The sequence below is a fragment of the Homo sapiens genome, chromosome 15 (genome assembly GCF_000001405.40).
Source record: "Homo sapiens chromosome 15, GRCh38.p14 Primary Assembly".
Lineage (NCBI taxonomy): Eukaryota > Metazoa > Chordata > Mammalia > Primates > Hominidae > Homo > Homo sapiens.
Genome location: NC_000015.10, coordinates 45,921,383 through 45,939,738, shown reverse-complemented (window position 1 = coordinate 45,939,738; position 18,356 = coordinate 45,921,383). Strand labels below are relative to the sequence as shown.

At 40.2% G+C, this 18,356-nt stretch overlaps 1 long non-coding RNA gene across 1 annotated transcript in view; it reads right to left on the bottom strand.

The window, feature by feature from the left end:
• Positions 1-8,669: 8,669 nt before the first annotated feature.
• Positions 8,670-18,356, bottom strand: part of LOC105370802 (uncharacterized) — a 225,875-nt gene continuing 216,188 nt past the window's right edge. Inside the window, exons 3-5 of the long non-coding RNA NR_135680.1 lie at positions 12,758-12,910; positions 11,675-11,808; positions 8,670-8,791 (exon numbers count right to left, since the gene is read on the bottom strand). This is a non-coding gene — a long non-coding RNA (uncharacterized LOC105370802). The remainder of the gene's footprint in view (positions 8,792-11,674; positions 11,809-12,757; positions 12,911-18,356) is intronic.

The window sequence follows — 18,356 nt, the reverse complement described above, 5'->3', positions numbered from 1 at the left end:
CACTCCCACCAACAGTGTATAAGCGTTCCCTTTTCTCCACAACCTGCCAAGTTTTCTTGACTTCCACAGCGAGTGAAGCCATGAATGTGATGTACGGTGTACTGTGCTTCCCAGTATACTCAGGACAATGAAAAGGAATAGCACAAACTTAAAATATTAATGACAGGCCAGAGGCCCCTTTGCTGATTCAAGATTTAAGGCATTTTTTTTTTGGTTGGGTCAGGACACAAGGGCTTCAAGTGTTCCATGCCACAGAGAAATTTTTGAGTGATCTGCATTAGCCTTGCTAGTTAGAAAGACTCCCTGCCTAATCACAGATAGTTGCCCGGAGCAGCTCCCGCATGGATGACAAAAGGCCTCAAACCTGCTTGTGTGTGTCTGCTGTATGCTGAAGCAAATCCAGTGCTTGTGGCCAAGAAGAATGGGATGCAGTAAATTGCTTTAGTATGCTTCTCTGACCACAATCGGTAAGTTAATTTGATTAGTGACAATTTTAATGATCATATTTTCTATAAAAACATGGATTTTCGGGTAGCCTTTTGTGCTTTGCATTCATTTCTATTAAAATCTTGGCTAAGTGCACAGTTTGACGTTAAATAGTACCATCTTAAGACGGGTTCTACTGAAGCAGGGCCTGAGAAACGGACTCTTGTGCATTCAACTGATTTTTGAGGGAAGTTTCTTCAGGAGAAGGGACATCAGGGAAACAGAATAGGAAAGGGGAACAAAGCAAAGCTGGAGACCAGCTTCAGCCTGACCCCTGGGGAAGTTCTAGACAAATATGGCACCACAGAGTTAGTTGCACCTTGAGGGAAGAAGACTGGCCTTTGTACACATTTGCCAAAGTCATTAGCCAAGGTGGCTGGGTGTGATGGCTCACTCCTGTGTTCCCAGCACTTTGGGAGGCTGAGGTGGGTGGATCACTTGAGGTAAGGAGTTCAAGACCAGCCTGACCAATACGGTAAAACCCCATCTCTAAAAGCCCAGGAGGTAGAGGTTACAGTGAGCTGAGATCACACCATTGCACTCTAGCCTGGGCAACAGAGAGAAACTCTGTCTCAAAAAAATAAAAATAAAAATAAAAACAAAGTCATTAGCCAAAGTCAGTTCTCAATAGGGGATATCTGTGATAATTATCAACATTCAACAGCAGCTGGGGGATCTGAGTGGGACACCCACAACACCCACTATAGGAATTTTCATTGGCAACTGGTCACTTATGACTATTTTATTAACCAGCTGATTTCTCCTACTTTACCCTCCGCCTTTCTAGTTCAGGTGTTGACAATCTTTTACATAAAAGTACATATTTTAGGCTTTACAGGCCATATATCATCTCTGTCACAACTACTCAACTCTGCCGTTGTAGCACTAAAGCAGCTATAGATGATCCATAAACCAAAGAGCCTGCCTATGTTCTGATAAACAATAATATTAACAAAAACAGGCAGCAGATCAGATGTGGCCTGCAGCCGCTGACCCCTGCCTAGTCCATCTCCTGCCTCTCCACTTCCTGACGTATTTCCTTGACTACTCGTCTATGCTCTCTCTCAAACATAATCTCACATGTAACCACATGGAATTTTTCTCTTTAAGTCTGTACCTCCTCCTCTCCCTCTTCCCTATTGCCTCCTGGTCTTCTATTTTCTCTCCTATTCCTTTAGTTATCTTCTAACTCACCGGTATATCCATATATTCTAAAATGCAGTCCTGTCAGGCTGGTCTTCCAGACTACAGCAAAAACATTGTACCCACTACCCAGTAACAAATTCTGTACTCATTCCAAATGGCTGCAAGAATCCTGGGTCTTCTGTTTGTCTTTCTTCAGTTTAGCCATTTCTTTGGTAAAATGAAGATTGGTTCATGTTTTATCTGATATATTTTGAACAAGAAAAGGTATTGATTTTCAATCAATCTGGTTGCCCAAACTAACCTCATGCCCTCCTCAAGGTGGACCTAAGAACATTATATAATCAATATTCAGAAAAGCAATCAGACACAGCAGGTGGAGTTTTCTGTGAAGCAGAGATAAGTTTGTTTTCCATGTAGAAGGCTCTTTTATCCCCCCGCTTTTAAGGTTGCTTCAGTCTCCTAGAACCCACTTCTTCATGTGACTGCTCTAAAAGGAATAGTCTAAAATATCTTTCCACTGGCAGGAGGGATTCTGCCAGAGTGGGGGTCTCAGAGACAAGAAGGCATAGAGGCCCAGCAGAAATCTCTAGATTAATAGTCTTTATAGTTCTGTCTTAGTTAAGGCCAATTTGCCAAAGTAAGAAATCACTTGAGAGTGTAGCTGTGGCTACAAACTAGACAGTTGCTTTCATAGAAGAGGACCCAAAGCAGACATTCTTGGGGACGGGGCGGCAGCCATCACTGTAGCAGCTCGTAGAGATCTCAGATAAATCTCCTAGACTGACACCTGGGGCAGTAAAGCAGTTGGAGGTGGGGATATGCAGAAGGGTGATGGATACAGGAGACACATTCACTCAAAAACACCAAACTACAGGAGGCCGAGGCGGGCAGATCACAAGGTCAGGAGTTCGAGACCAGCCTGGCCAACATGATGAAACCCCATCTCTACTAAAAATACAAAAATTAACTAGGTGTGGAGGTGGGTGCCTGTAATCCCAGCTGCTCAGGAGGCTGAGGCAGGAGAATTGCTTGAACCTGGGAGGCGGAGGTTGCAGTGAGCTGAGATCGCGCCACTGCAGTCCAGCCTGGGTGACAGAGCAAGACTCCATCTGGACGAAACAAAACAAAATAAACACACACAAAAAAAAAACTACAAGAGCAACTTTACTTCTCATGGGGAAAGTCCCAGGGGAAAGAAAAATTGCCGTCATTGAAAGATGTCCTCAATTACTGATTCTAGAAGTCATCTTGGTGAGGATAAGAATTCATCTTAGGGGCTAAGGCAGGTTCACTTCTGAGGTACAAATTACGACAGCAATTATGTATCTGATCCCACTTGGAACAATAGGTCTTGGACTTAATTGGGGATAGAAATTCATTTCTGGAGTGTGGGAGGCTCAGCTCACATAGGGAAGTTCACTTTGGGCCTAACAGTATGGAGAAATAGTAGGAGGCAGGGCATTCACTATCCTGTATTTGTTTTCCTTCTTTCTTCAGTATTCAGTGAGGGTTGGGGACTATCACTGCTAGGAATGCAAAGCTGTAAATTTTACTTATAGAATTCTTGTCATCTGTGAGGTAATAAGGAAGTAGCTTGCTTGCCAGAAAGTAGGGGTATCTTAATTTAGATTCTCCCAGGAATAGATCATGAGACAAGGAATAGAGAACAAGTCATTTATTTGGAAGGTGATCCAATAAACCATGGCAGGGAAGTGGGAATGAAACAGAAAAAGGAACGTATCAAGCCAGCTACCACTGTGGGCAACTACAGCTTCATCCCACTGGGAAACTCTAGATATCCATGCAGTACAGACAATTCAGAGATATCCCGCTAAGACATTGATTAAGAGCTGATTATGGGACATTAATTCTGTGGCACTTCTAGCCTAGCTTGGGCACAAGCAGTGCACTCCAGCTGCTTTAGACAGCCCTCCAGTAAAGAAAGGCACTTGCTAACAGAAGTAAGATAGGGAGTAACCACAAAGCTAAGGCCCACGAGGATATGGAGGGTGCACCAATAGAATCTCTTACAGGGTATGACCCTGGATCTCAAAAGTGTAGGTTCTGGAAAGAAATAGCATGAATGCAGAGTCCAAAATGGATATAAAACATCTTGGTTTCCCTCTTTTGGAAGTTCACAGCACGTGACCTGGACACTAAATGGAAGAAAGGCGTCAAAAAGACCTAGAGAAGGGGATCCTATCATCTCAAACTTAGAAATGTTATTGAAAGAAGGGGATGTTTCAGAGTTATACATATTTTCCTCTCCCCTCTCTCTCCCCACCAAACACGATCATTTTATAGTGTAAGAGTCTTTTGTCAGAAGACCTATTCCATTTGAACCTTAAATTCAACAGCAGTACACTAGACAATGGGTACCAATTAGCCTGGCCCTTTGGAGAAACTGAAACTCTCTCTCTCTCTCTCTCTCTCTCTCTCTCCCCTTCGCTCCCTCCCTCCCTCCCCTCCTCTATCTCTCCCCACCGCCCCCCGCCATTTGTCCCTCCCTCCCTTATTTGTTTTCTCTATTTATTTGATTCCCCCAAATATACTGCATCTCTATGGTGGTATCTGGTTGATAGCAAATTGGAGTTAGAGTCAAAGATATCTGCTTAGTACTGGAAACACTGCTTTGCTTGGGAAATACATGCGCACAAGGCAATATGTACTTAGATTGCAAATATTTAGTTTAGTAGATTCCAAGTATCCTGACAGCTCTTCAGAACTTTGGAAATATGAGAGACTTGATATTGAGGTAATTTCTGGATTTACCAAAGAGCAGTGCAATTTTCCATAAGAAATACCTCAAGCTGCAGCTGCTGAAAAAGAGATCCAGGCATAATTCAGATACCAGGACACCACAGAGCCAGGATGGACCCAAAGAAAAACACAATTAAAAGGACAGCGCTTTGGCAGGGCGTGGTGGCTCACGCCTGTAATCCCAGCACTTTGGGAGGCCGAGGCGGGTGGATCACGAGGTCAGGAGACCGAGACTATCCTGGCCAACACAGTGAAACCTCGTCTCTACTAAACTACAAAAAATTAGCTGGGCACGGTGGTGTGCGCCTGTAGTCCCAGCTACTTGGGAGGCTGAGGCAGGGGAATAGCTTGAACTCGGGAGGCAGAGCTTGCAGTGAGCCGAGATTGTGCCACTGCACTGCAGCCTGGTGAGAGAGCGAGACTCTGTCTCAAAAAAAAAAAAAAAAAAAAAAAAAAAGGGACAGCACTTCGGCTGGACACGGTGGCTCATGCCTGTAATCCCAGCACCTTAGGAGGCCAAGGCAGGCGAATCACGAGGGTCAGGAGATCGAGACCATCCTGGCTAACACGATGAAACCCTGTCTCTACTAAAAATACAAAAAATTAGCCAGGCGTGGTGGCGGGCACCTGTAGTCCCAGCTACTCCGGAGGCTGAGGCAGGAGAATGGTGTGAACCCGGGAGGTGGAGCTTGCAGTGAGCTGAGATCGCGCCACTGCACTCCAGCCTGGGTGACAGCGCGAGACTCTGTCTCAAAAAAAAAAAAAAAAAAAAGGATAGAACTTTGTACATTTTTTGTTAGACCTTTAATTTCCTCCTAAGAATAGGAATTAACTTTAAAAAGAAGATAATTTTTAGGATTAAATCAAATAAAGACATCAAGAGACAGTAATAGGAACTGATTTATATTCCCAACTAAAGACCCAAAAACCTGGACAAAATATATGAAACCACAGTTTTCAGATATTAAACAACAAAGTAGCAGTGTAGTGATCCCCAAGAGAAGAAAAGCAAATAAGATGAGCCCTTCAACTTTACCAGTTTACTGTTTGAGAGTGATTTCAGGCCACAGTGCAAGGAGTGAAAACACAAAGCCCAGCAATCTCCTTGAGTTGAGAAGATGGAGACTGGAGATCAGAAGACAAAGTCACCTAGAATTTGTGATACAGAAAACAAAAATAAGGGATATGCAAGAGGAAGAACTCCAGATTTCTACAAGGAGTTCCCTACAGTCTTTGGCTAAGTAAAGAAGCACATGTGAGACAGGGAAAGAATCAATGGAAAAGAGTATGAAGAGCAATTCCAGAAGTCCACACACAGATTGGAATCATTTATGTTCCTACCAGTCGCAGTGTAAAGATATTTATTACAGCACAAGGTACATCATGTAGAAGAATATCACCATAGCAGTGAGCTAACTTGGTGCTCAACAAAATAATAATCTAGACCCACAATAACAATGCTTAAAAGCAAAATTCAAAAAGATCCAACTGATTCCGAGTAAATTAATTGCACATCAGAATAGAATCCATAATTATTTAAATAAAAACAACAAAATTCAGCAATCAATAAAATAAAAAACAACGTAAAATTACAACGCCAACTATCCAATCAAAAATTATGAGGCATGCAATGTGGTAGAGAATTTTGACCTACAGCCAGCCAAAACAAAAAAAAAATTATAAGTAGATCAATAAATGATTGAACCAATGGAACTACATACAAGAACATTAAAATGGCATTATAAATATACTGTATATAATTAAGAAGATAAAGGAAAAAATTAGCATAATGAAGGCAATGAAAGATAATTTTAAAAGATACAAATACGTTAAAAGTGATAAAATACAAAAACACACTAATCAAAGTAAAAAAGGAAACAGGGAAAATATTTTAGAATGAGAAATATTGCCAACAAAAAAGGGACTTTTATAATAATTTAAAAAGTCTTGGCCGGGCACGGTCCTCATGCCTGTAATCCCAGCACTTTGGAGGCCGAGATGGGCGGATCACTAAAAATACAAAAAATTAGCCGGCCTGGTGGCGGGCGCCTGTAGTCCCAGCTACTCTGAAGGCTGAGGCAGGAGAATGGCGTGAACTTGGGAGGCAGAGCTTCCAGTGAGCCGAGATCACGCCACTGCACTCCAGCCTGGGCGACAGAGCAAGACTCCGTCTCAAAAAAATAAAAAATAAAAAATAAAAAAAGTGTCCATTTACCAAAAGTATGTGTTTTTATTTTTTAGGGCTACCTTAACAAAGTACCATAGACAGGATGACTTAAACAACAGAAGTTTATTTTCTCACAATTCTAGAAGCTAGGACTCCAATATCAGGCATCGTCAGGATTTATTGTTTCTGAAGTACCTCATCTTGGCTTATAGATGGCCATCTTTTTTACAGGGTATTCCCTCTGTGTGTGTCTGGGTCCTAATCTCTTCTTATAAGGGCGCCATTCATATTAGACTGCAGCCCACCCTACTGACCTCATTTTAATTTAGTTACCTCTTTAAAAACCCTAACTCCAAATACAGTCACATTCTAAAGTACTGGGAGTTAGAACTTTAATATCTGAATTGGGCAGAAGGAACACAATTCAGCTCATAACAGTACATAACAATCCGAAATATACATGCACTCAGTAACAGAGCTTCAAAATACATGAAGCAAAAACTGAGAGAACCGAAAGGAGAAACAGACACATCCACAATATAGTTGTCACTTTCAATACTTCTTTCTCAGTAATTAATAAATAAAAACATCAATGAGGTAATAGAATGCTTAAACATTATTATCAATCAAGTAGGCCAAATTTACATTTATTAAGTAGTCCATCAATGACCATAAAATATTCATTCTTTTCAACTACACATGGAGTGTTCATCAAAATAGGCTGTATCTTGTACCATGAAACTAATTTCAACCAATTTAAGAGAAGTAAAATGATACAAATCATGTTTCTGACCAAAATAGAACTAGAGATAATAACAGAAAGATATCTTTTAAAAACTCAATATTTTTAAAACAACTAAAACTTTTCTCAACAACTGCTTGTGTTAAAAAAGAAATTACAAGGGACACCATGTCATAAAAGAGATCATGTCCTTTGCAGCAGCATGGGTGGAACTGGAGACCATTATCCTAAACTAACTAACACAAGAACAGAAAACCAAATGCCACATGTTCTCACTTATAAATGGAAGCTAACCATTAAGTACACATGGGCACAAAGAAGAGAGCAATAGACATTGGGGCCTCCTTGAGGATGGAGGATGGGAGGAGGGTGAGGACTGAAAAACTACGTATCAGGTTTATCACCTGGGTGATGAAATAGTCTGTACACCAAACCCTTGTGACATGCAATTTACCTATATAATAAATGTGCACATGTACTCACGAACCTAAAAATCTAAAATATATATATGTATTTTGAGATGAAGGAAAATGAAAACACAGCATCACAAAATTTTGGGGATAGAGATAAAACAGTGCTTAGAAGAAAATTTATAGCACTAAATGTCTGTATTAGGAAGGAAGGTCTCAGGTAATTTAAATCTCCAACTAAATCAACTAGAAAATAAGAGTAAATTTAACCCAAATAATTAGAATAAAGTAAATAAGGATAAGAGCAGAAATCAATGAAACAGAAAAACGTAGAAATTGAAAAAAACAAAATCAGACACTTTCTTAAGATCAATTTTAAAAACTGATAAACGTCTAGTCAGTCTTACTGATTAAGAAAAACACAAATTGCCAATATCAAGAATGAAAGAGGAGTCATTACTACAGATCATATAGTTATTTAAAGGATAATAAGGGGTTATATAAGCAACTTTATGCCAATACATCTGACAAAGAAAATGAATATTTGCCATTTAATCCACAAACTATCAAAGCTCACTCAAAAAGAAGGAATAACCAGAGTAGTTCTGTATCTGTTAAAGAAATTGAATTCTTACATCAAAACTGTCCCACAAGTAAAACTCCAGCCAAATAGCTACACTGATGTATTCTACCAAACATTTAAAGAAGAAATAATACCAATCCTTCCCAAACTTCTTCAGGAAATAGAGGAGACAAACTTCCCAAGTCATTTTTTAAAAATTTTTAATTTTTGTGGGTACATAGTAGGTGTGTATATTTATGGGGTACATAAGATATTTTGTTACAGGCCTGCAATGCAAATAATCACATCATGCAAATAATCGCTTCATGTATTCATTCCCTCAAACATTTATCTTTTGTGTTACAAACAATCCAATTACACTCTTTTAGTTATTTTTAAATGTATAATTAAATTATTATTGACTTTAGTCACCCTGTTGTTCTTTATCCATTCATCTGTTGATGGACATTTAGGTTGCCTCCAAATCTTCCAAGCCATTTCATGAAGCCAGTATTTTCCTAACATAAACCAGATGAAGACATCACAAAAAAAATTAAAAATACAGAAATGAAAATGAAAAATCATAAACATAGATGCAAATATTCTTAAGAGAATATTGGCAAATTGAATCCAGTAATATATTTTCAAAAATACATCATGACCAAGTGGAATTTATCCTAGTAATGCCAAGTTGTATCAAAAGTCAGTCAATATAATTTGCCATATTAACAGACAAATAAAAATAGGTCATGTGACCATCCTAATAGATGTGGCAAAGCATTTGAAATAGACCAACATTTATTTGTGATGAAAAGCTCTCAGCAAAACAGAAATAGAAAGAAATTTTCTGATAAAGAGTGTCTATAAAAACATATAGCTAGCATTCTACTTCATAGTGAAAGACTGAATGTTTCCTCCTAACATCTAGAGGGAGACAGAGGTGTCTGCTGTCACCAGTTCTATTCAATGTTATACTAGATGCCCTAGCCAGAACATTAAGGTACAGAGAAGAAGAAATAACAGAAGAGGAAAGAGAAAGAAGGGAGAGAAGAAAAAGCATACAGATTGGAAAAGAAGAGGTAAAACACTATGGTGCAAATGACATGAACATCTATGTAGACTAGCCTAAGGAATCTACAAAAAAAAAAAGCTACTAGAACCAAGTGAGTATAAGATTGTGTGATGCAAGGTCAATATGCAAAACCAATTGTATTTCTTCTATATAATAGGAGTCAACAACTGAGAATTAAAATACCATTAAAAGATGTAAAATAGGGATACATTTGGCAAAAAAATTAAATTTGTACATCAAAAACTATAAAACATTGATTAGATAAATTTTTTTAAACTTAAATAAATAGAGTAAAACTTCTGATCCTCATGGATTGGAAGTCTCAATAATGTTAAAATGTTGATTCTCCCACAAGTTGGTATTCAACACAATCCCTATAAAGTCCTAGCAGCTGTTTTGCATTTGTTGCTTTTTTTAAAAAAAAAAAGATTCTAAAACTTATTTGGAAATACAAAGGACCTAAAATAGCTACAGTTTTGATAAAGAAAACATAAAGTTTGAGACTTCCTTGACTTCAAGATATATTATAAAGCCACACCAGAGACTAGAATATCGTTTTAAAGAAGCAGACCTACACATATTTAGCCAACTGATTTTTGACAAAGTTGTCAAAGCAATTCAATGTGGAAAGAACAGTCTTTTCAACAAATAGTTGGAAACAATTGAATATTTATATGTAAAACAAAAAAAAGAAACTTGACACCTTATTACATCCACAAAAAATCTTATAACATTACCTTATATTAATATTACCTTATAAAATACACACAAAAATATTAATTAAAAAATCAATATGATCTAATAGATCATAGACCTAAATGTAAAACTTAAAACTATAAAACTCTTAGAATAAACCACAAGAAAAAACAAAACCAAACCTTTATGGCCTTGGGTTAGCCAAGATTTTCTAAGACCAAAAAAGCACAATCCATAAAAGAAACACTGATAAACTTAACTTCATAAAAATAAAAACTTTTACTCTTCAAAAGATATTAGTAACAAAACTTTTAAAAGGTTACAGACTAAAAGAAAATATTTGCTGAAAACATATCTAATGAAGAACTTGTATCCAGAACAGAGGTTAGCAAATTACAGCCCCTCCGCCCCCACCCCCGCCCCCATCTTTGTCAGAAGTTTATTATCTGTATTATCTGTGGCTTCTTTCAAGTTAAAATATCAGAGTTATGTAGTTGCAATCCAGACCTTATGACCTATAACCCTAACATATTTACTATCTGACTCCTAAACAAAAAGTTTGCCAACACCTGAGAATATTTAAAAAACTCTTACAACACACTAAAAATAAGACGACTTGATTTTCAAAATAGGTAAAAGATTTGAATAGACACTTCACCTAAAGAACATATACAAACAGCAAATAAGTACATAAAAATATGCCAAGTATCATTAGTTGTTAGGAAAATGCAAATAAAATCACAATGATATACCACTACACACAGCTAGAGTGGCTAAAATTAAAATGACTGACAATATCAAGTGCTGGTAGAGATGTGGTGCAACTGGAATTATTCTATGCTAGTAGGAGTACAAAATATTACAGCCACTTTAAAAAAACAGCTTAGCAATTTCTTAGATCATTAAGCAGATACCATTTGAGTATCCAGACAGATACCTATTTGCCTTTTAAAATGACATCCTTTAATAGTCATTGTATACTTTTAACAAGCCATTTCAGATAATTCTACAAATGCAGGGGAAAGATGATTTTAAAACTTCGGGAAATATAACCAAGGATGGAATCGGCAATAAAATCATGACAGTCAACCCCTCTGTAAGGCTGTTATTTAATAACCTAAAATCATCCAAGATGGCACTTCTAGACACGTTTTCTCACTTTTTTTAGTCTCTTCTCTCCAGGAATTTGCTGCAGGAAGCGATTAAAGCTGGTGATTTCAATAGGTAGTGAAAGCAAGTGGTTAATGGCAAGGAGCTATCAAGATTTTCCCTCTTCTGCGCTGTCCTTCCCTGAGCTGTTGTTTCAGAGTGGTTAAAATCAACCACAAGCATTTTCCCAGGTGCAAACATCAAGCAGAACACTGTGATCAATCCTGAGGATTCCATATACTCCTGTCACTGAGGTTTTTACAATGCAATAATTGATGTTTGAAAAACTGCTCAGTAGTCTACAAGATAGGAAGATATTATTATCATTACCTAGGTGAGGTAACTGAAGCTCAGAGAGGTTGCGCTGCAGCAAAGATGACCCAAACAGTGCTGTGACTTCAAGCAGATTTTAGCTCTTCTATCCATAGCTCTTTCTATCCCTTGACAACTCACCAGCTGGGAGGTAGATTATGTTAGCACTTACCAGCTAATAGCTTACAGGTGAGCCAAAATCTTGCCCATAAGGTGGCTGGCTGGAAATTATGTGACCAAATGAGCTGGATGGTCCACTCTCAGCAGTGAGCAGCCTCTAGTCTTTATCTCATCGTGCTGTGTGGGCTGTAGTGTGAAAAATGTCAGGAGGCACTGATACGTGTTATCTGGCATTGATGTATTAATCTTTTTACCTTTGTGTTCTACATTTCAAAGGAGTGATATTCATACCTTGAACTATTAGGATTTAAAGAATTCAAAACCTCCGAACCCCTCTCTCCATAAGAACTTGGAATCAGACCTATTGCGGAGAATTCTAGCCCAACCCAAAGGGATTGGGTAGACCAGAGAGGCCACAGGAAGGCAGAATTTGCACATTGCTAATCCCTATACCTTCTTCCCAGGCACTCCCATAGCACCCCACATTTCAACATGTCACACAGGCAACTGCGCTGAATTATAATGTTCTGTTTCCTTGTTGATTTCTCCTGCTAAACTGTAATCTTTTTTAAGAGCAAAAGATCATTCACTACTGTACCCTGACTGTCCAGCACAGTGCCCACACTGCTGCAGTAGTCTCTTAACCAGACTCTGCTGTACTATTGCCTTCCTATGACCTTTCTTCAAGTTTGAGTAATGTATTTAAAATGGAAAACAAGTCAGGTAACCCCCCTGCTTAAGACCCTCCAATGGTTGAAAATGATCTACATCTTGATTGTGGTAGTGATCATATGACCATAGGCCTTTATCAAAATTCATAAAACTGTACATCTAAAAGGGGTAAATTTTACTGTATATAAATTATATACCTCAATAAACCCAACTTAAAGTTTTAAAAATTAAAATCTCCTATGGATATCATTGTTCTTAAAACAAAATCCAGGTTCTCTACCACGGCTGACATGGCTTAATGACTCACGGTCCCACAGGAAACAGATGACATACTCAAATTAGGAAAAAGTTGTAAATAGTTCATGGAACTCTCCTCAAAACTGGGCAGACGGGTCATGAAGCTACACATATAGTGGGGTGCAGGTAGCACCCAGGCCTGAAAGGAAGGTACGGCTACTGTTACCTGGAGACAGAAACGCTGCGTGGAGCTGAGCCTTTCAGTTAAATATGAGAGCCCCCATCTCCTGCTAGGAGTCCTCATTGGCAGGATCCAAACAGAAGGCAAGGGGCAAGAGCAAGTCACGCCCAGGGCCATAGAACAGGGTGGAGGGTGGAGCTAGAGAGGAAAATGGAGAGATATCAGTAAATAGTGATAAATGGTCTGGCCCCTCTTTCCTACTACAACTTCAAATGCACCTCCCTCCAAAAGCCATCCCCCTCCCACACTGTGATCCAATCACACTGGCCTTTTCCTGTCCACCGTAGGCCCTGTACAGTTACCTATCTCTGTGCCTGAATTCCCTGCCCCTAGATCTTTGCAGTTGGCCTCTTTCTTGACATTCAAACTGTCCTCTCAATCAAAAGCAAAGCCTCTCCCCCAACTTCTCCTTAGCACTCATCTTGGTTCTTCCCAGGCAGAAGTAATGCTTACCATTACTTTTTTAAATAAAAAAATATATATTGAAGTCATACAACATGATGTTTTGATATACATATACATAGTGAAATGATTACTACAGTCAAGCTACTTAACATACTCATCTTTTCACAGTTACTTTTTTTGTGGTGAGTGTTTTTGGGGAACCACAGTCAATGGCGCAGGGTTAAAAGAATTTGCCAAGACAGTTGTAGCTCAAGGAAGTCAGATTTATTAGAGAAAGTGAAAAAATACATTGCCAGAGAGAGAACGGACAGCCTCAAAGAGAGAAGCCAATTGCCAAGAGACAAAGGCTTGCTGGAGATTTTATAGGATAGTGTTTATGCTGTCTGTCGAAGAGGGCTTTGTGCAATATTGATAATGCCAAGGTTGCAGTGAACTGACTTGCAGGTGTCTGGTGATAGCTGGATGCAGGAAGATTGAGAGTTATTTGCACAGGAGGGCTGTGTCCTGAACCATGAAGAAAGGTAAACTTGCAGTTTATCTGTTTTCTCTTTTTGCTTTCTCCTGCTCCCACAAGCCTAATTCCCTTTCTCTACTTAGGACTCTACAGTGAGAACACATAATATCTACTTTTTGTAAATTTCCAGTATACAATACAGTATTAACTATAGTCATCAGGCTGTGCATTAGATCTCTAGGCTTATTCACCCTATATGACTGTAACTTTGTAACTTTGTACCCTTTGACCTACATCTCCCCATTTCTTCACTCACACTCCTGGTAACCACCATTCTACCCTCTGCTTCTATGGATTTGACTTATTTAGATTCTACATATAAGTGAGATCATGCAGTATTTGCTTTTCTACACATTACTTTCTCTCTCTCCAGCACCTAGAAGAGTGCCCACACCAAGTGCCTACGTGTTTGAAAGAAGGAAAGAACAACAGTGGTCCTGCTGCCTTGTCCCTGAGTGGCCATTCTTCCTGGCACAGCTGGGCAGAGTGCGGGAGTGTTCAGACTGGGGAGGGAGGATGATGTAGGTAGGGGATGGGAGGCCTAAGTGAGTGAAGCACCCCATGTACGGTGAGGAAGTCAGGGCTAGAACAGACAGATATACCCAGGATGCCCAGAGATTCATGGGAAAAACATTTCTTTAGCTTGTTCAAAAGCAGCAGAAACCACTCTCTACACATTAAAAAAAGCATACTAATTTACGTTGCATTCCCAGCCCTCAATCAACCGTAGAGTGTACAATCTGATTGAAAGAGCCCGATCAAGGCCATTTTCTCTAAAGAGTGGATCCACACGGGTCAAATCATGTGCATTCAATACATATTTGACCAATATTCTGATTCACTGAACTCCACCAGGGAAGAGACAATCTCCCTCTCTAAGGGAAAAAATAAAAGATCCTGAGAAAAATAGTCTGTGGTTTCTTAGTGCAGTAACATTTAGTCACTGAGCTATATAGCAAGTTAAAGGTCTTTTAACCAAGTTGATTTAAAATAAATATCTATGCTTTCCAGAAAGCAGTGTTTTTAGGTTATTCTTATGCCTTATTTCTGAAAACAGTTAACTGAGGCAATTTCTTTTTAATTAAAAAATGCATTTGAAAAAAAAATTACTCCCAACCAGAGCCTGCTTATTTCTTGCTGCCTTTTTAGCTATTATTTTCCTTTATCATTTTGTAGGCGAAATGACACGGCAAAATTTTTTCCAGCATTTACTCAATTTTGTTCAGAGCCACTAAATTTTATATACAATCATATTCCTCTTTTGCTACAGAGAAATCTCATGAATTGCAAAAATGTGAACATTTTGAATTAGAATAAAGATTTCCTCACATCGTTTTCTATATATGGAATCGTCTCATTCTCATCATTCCCTGGTTTTAAAAGAACTGACTATCCCAGATATTGACTGGAATTTTTCTTCATGTAGTTTAGAAGACAACATTATTGATTACACTGGGCTTTTCTTATTTACCACCTTTTCATCTGTGATGGGCCATATGGGTATTCAGTGTTTAGTTATGTGTGTCTAAACTCTTTGAGAAAGACAGTTATTTGTCAGGCTGCAAATACCTAGAGAGCCCATAACAATTTTCTTTCAACAAGCAATCGTTAGGCTTCTTCTGGCTTGGAACGATACGACCCCAGATCCTCCTGGGTGGCACACATGGTCAGAGACAAAATGGCATTAAGAGACTCTGGACCTGACTTGGATAAAAAATGTAGCCCCAATCACCAAAGAGGTCAATTTGTCGGGCAAGATGGCTGCAGCTCCACTCACAAACCCTACTTTTCTTTTTTAAATGGTATGTTTCCTTCCCAAGAGGCTGTCCAAAGAGGAAGACAGGGATGCACACCCAGAAAATGGCCTCGATCGGGTTCTTTCAATCAGATTGTGCACTCCACGGTTAATTGAGGGCTGGGAATGCAACATAAATTAGTTCCACAGCTTAAAATAAGAGAAGTAGATAGTATCTCCATTTTTCAGAGAAAGAAATGGAGGCTTAGAGACGTGAGATAACAAGTGGCAGAGCCCAGATCTGAGTCCCAAGTTGCACCCTGGAGCCCATGTTTGCCCCACTGTGTGAGCAGCCAAGCTGACTTCCCCAGACAATGGGGATCTGCAGCACCACGCAAGGGAACTAGGTTATGACAACTAAGACTCCAGTTTCCAACCTCATGGCCTCTGAAATTCCCTAGGGAAAAGTTTCTGCTGCTGTTCACCTATCCTACTGATAAGGACAGCTACTTAATGAAAGTGAGAAATTATGACTCTACAGCTAGTCTGTCACCTGATGTCCCAGAGAACAGGCTTTTTGTTTGGGAGGAGCAAAAATGACTACATCCTAGAAAAGACCACTCCTGGCCGGGTGCGGTGACTCACGCCTGTAATCCCAGCACTTTGGGAGGCCGAGGCAGGCGGATCACCTGAGGTCGGGAGTTTGAGACCAGCCTGGCCAACATGGTGAAACCCCATCTCTACTGAAAATACAAAAACTACCTGGGTGTAGGGATGGGCACCTGTAATCCCAGCTACTCGGGAGGCTGAGGCAGGAGAATCGCTTGAACCCAGGAGGCGGAGGTTGCGAGTGAGCCGAGATCGTGCCACTGCATTCCAGCCTGGGCAACAGAGTGAGACTCTGTCTCAAAAAAAAAAAAAAAAGAAAAGAAAAGAAAGAAAGAAAAGACCACTCCCAAAGAAATGATATCCTGCCTCCACACCTCCACCACCATCACGAAATTAACAGTACATGTATTCCCTTGGGATTCATCACTCATATTTGAGCATCTACTTTGTGTCAGGTGCTACCAGTGCTGAGGATATAGCAGTGAGCAACACATGTTTCCTCCCTCAAGAACTTGAGGCAGACCAGTGGGGATGACAGAAACAGGTATCACAGTAATGGTGGACACATGGAGGGCCATCTTCCCCAGCTTATTTGGAGAAGGGTGAGAGGGGCTGACACAGGAAGTGATGTCTAAAAGGAGACTGGAAAAGCGAACAGAAGCTCAGTGAGGAGAGAGCAGCTGGGATTGCAGCAGCATGGGTCAGGAAGAGTTCTAGAAAACAGCAAGGACAAAGGTCTGGAAATAAAAGAGAGCCCAGGGAGTTCAGCGTGGGGAGTGGAGAGAAGTTTAGTGATGCTGGAAAGATGAGTTGATGTTAAGTTATATATGGCATCTGCAGCCACAGAAAAAGATTGGGGCAGTGTGGTAGGAGGACAGGATCTGACATCCTGAGCTGGCACCTGAATCAAGGCTATCAAATGGAAACAACAATTTACCCACCTCTAAGCAATGTGGTGAGGAGCTACTGAGCTAACCCATAGAGAATGCTGTGTATAGTGCCTGGCCTATACAAAGTACTGGGTAAAAGGTAGCTATTACCATCATTGTTATTTTATTCTGAGGGTCAGGAGAGCCATGGAGGAGTTTCACAAAGGCAAAGACCATCAATTTACGCTTTAGAAAGGCTGTTCAGGCCAGGTGCCTGTAATCCCAGCACTTTGGGAGGCCAAGGTGGGTGGATCACCTGAGGTCAGGAGTTCGAGACCAGCCTGGCCAACATGGCGAAACCCTGTCTCTACTAAAAATACAAAAAAAATTAGTCGGGCATGGTGGCAGTTGCCTGTGATCCCAGCTACTTGGCAGGCTGAGGCAAGAGATCGCTTGAACCTGGGAGTTGGAGGTTGCAGTTAGCCAAGATCGCTCCATTGCACTCCAGCCTGGGCAACCGAGCAGGACTCTATCTCAAAAAAAAAAAAAAAAAAGAAAGAAAAAAAAGAAAGAAAGGCTGTTTAAGGGACAGTGTGGCAAACACATGTACAAAGGACAAGGCTGAAGGCAGGTGAAACTAACAAGGAAACTCTTGGGCAAGAAACCAATCCCTTCCACATTTCATAGCACAAAGTCAATATTTAAGAATGCCAATTGACTGTACCCAGTAAAGGGAAAACATTTTTTGAGTGCAACATTAAGATACCATCCTCTGTTCATACCTACATGTACTATATATTAGACATAAATTTTGATATCCAGGAGACAAAAGCAAAAGGACCTAGAGTGTAGGGAACCATAGGATGGGGAAGTGGAGGGATCCAGAAGAGCAAGACCACCCTAGATATTTGGGAAGGGAACATTTGGCAGTAGGGTGGGAACAGGGCAGATGGGGCAATGGGAGGTGCTCTCGAACTATATTCTGTCTGCTTCACAGTTTTGCCTTACAGATCTGCATCTTACTGCCTGCTTTTTCAGAAACAGACACCAATTGTCACAGGCTGGGTTCCCCGGCAGACATCTCATTGGCGTTTGTGATGCAAGACACTTATTTGTTAAGAGTCAACACCTGTGAAAGAAAGCATGTGGAAGCAGGACTGAGGAATCAGGAAGTTGCTGAACTGCAACGCAGGCCTAATAAAGTCTTCAGGAAGCTGGCAGGAGGCTCAGAAATGTGTATTGCCAATCTGAGCTGCCTGGTGGGCTGAAACCTCCCTCAGTTATGACAGACCATCCTAGAAAAGGCAGAAACCTGGCCAAGTGACTGTCTCTAGCTGAGAGAGCCCAAAGCAGCTGACAGCTGGAAGCAATCTTGCTGACCACACTCCCCAAAGCCCCACAGCTAAGCAGACGTCCTTCTCAGAAGGACAGCACATATCTGTGTCTACCACA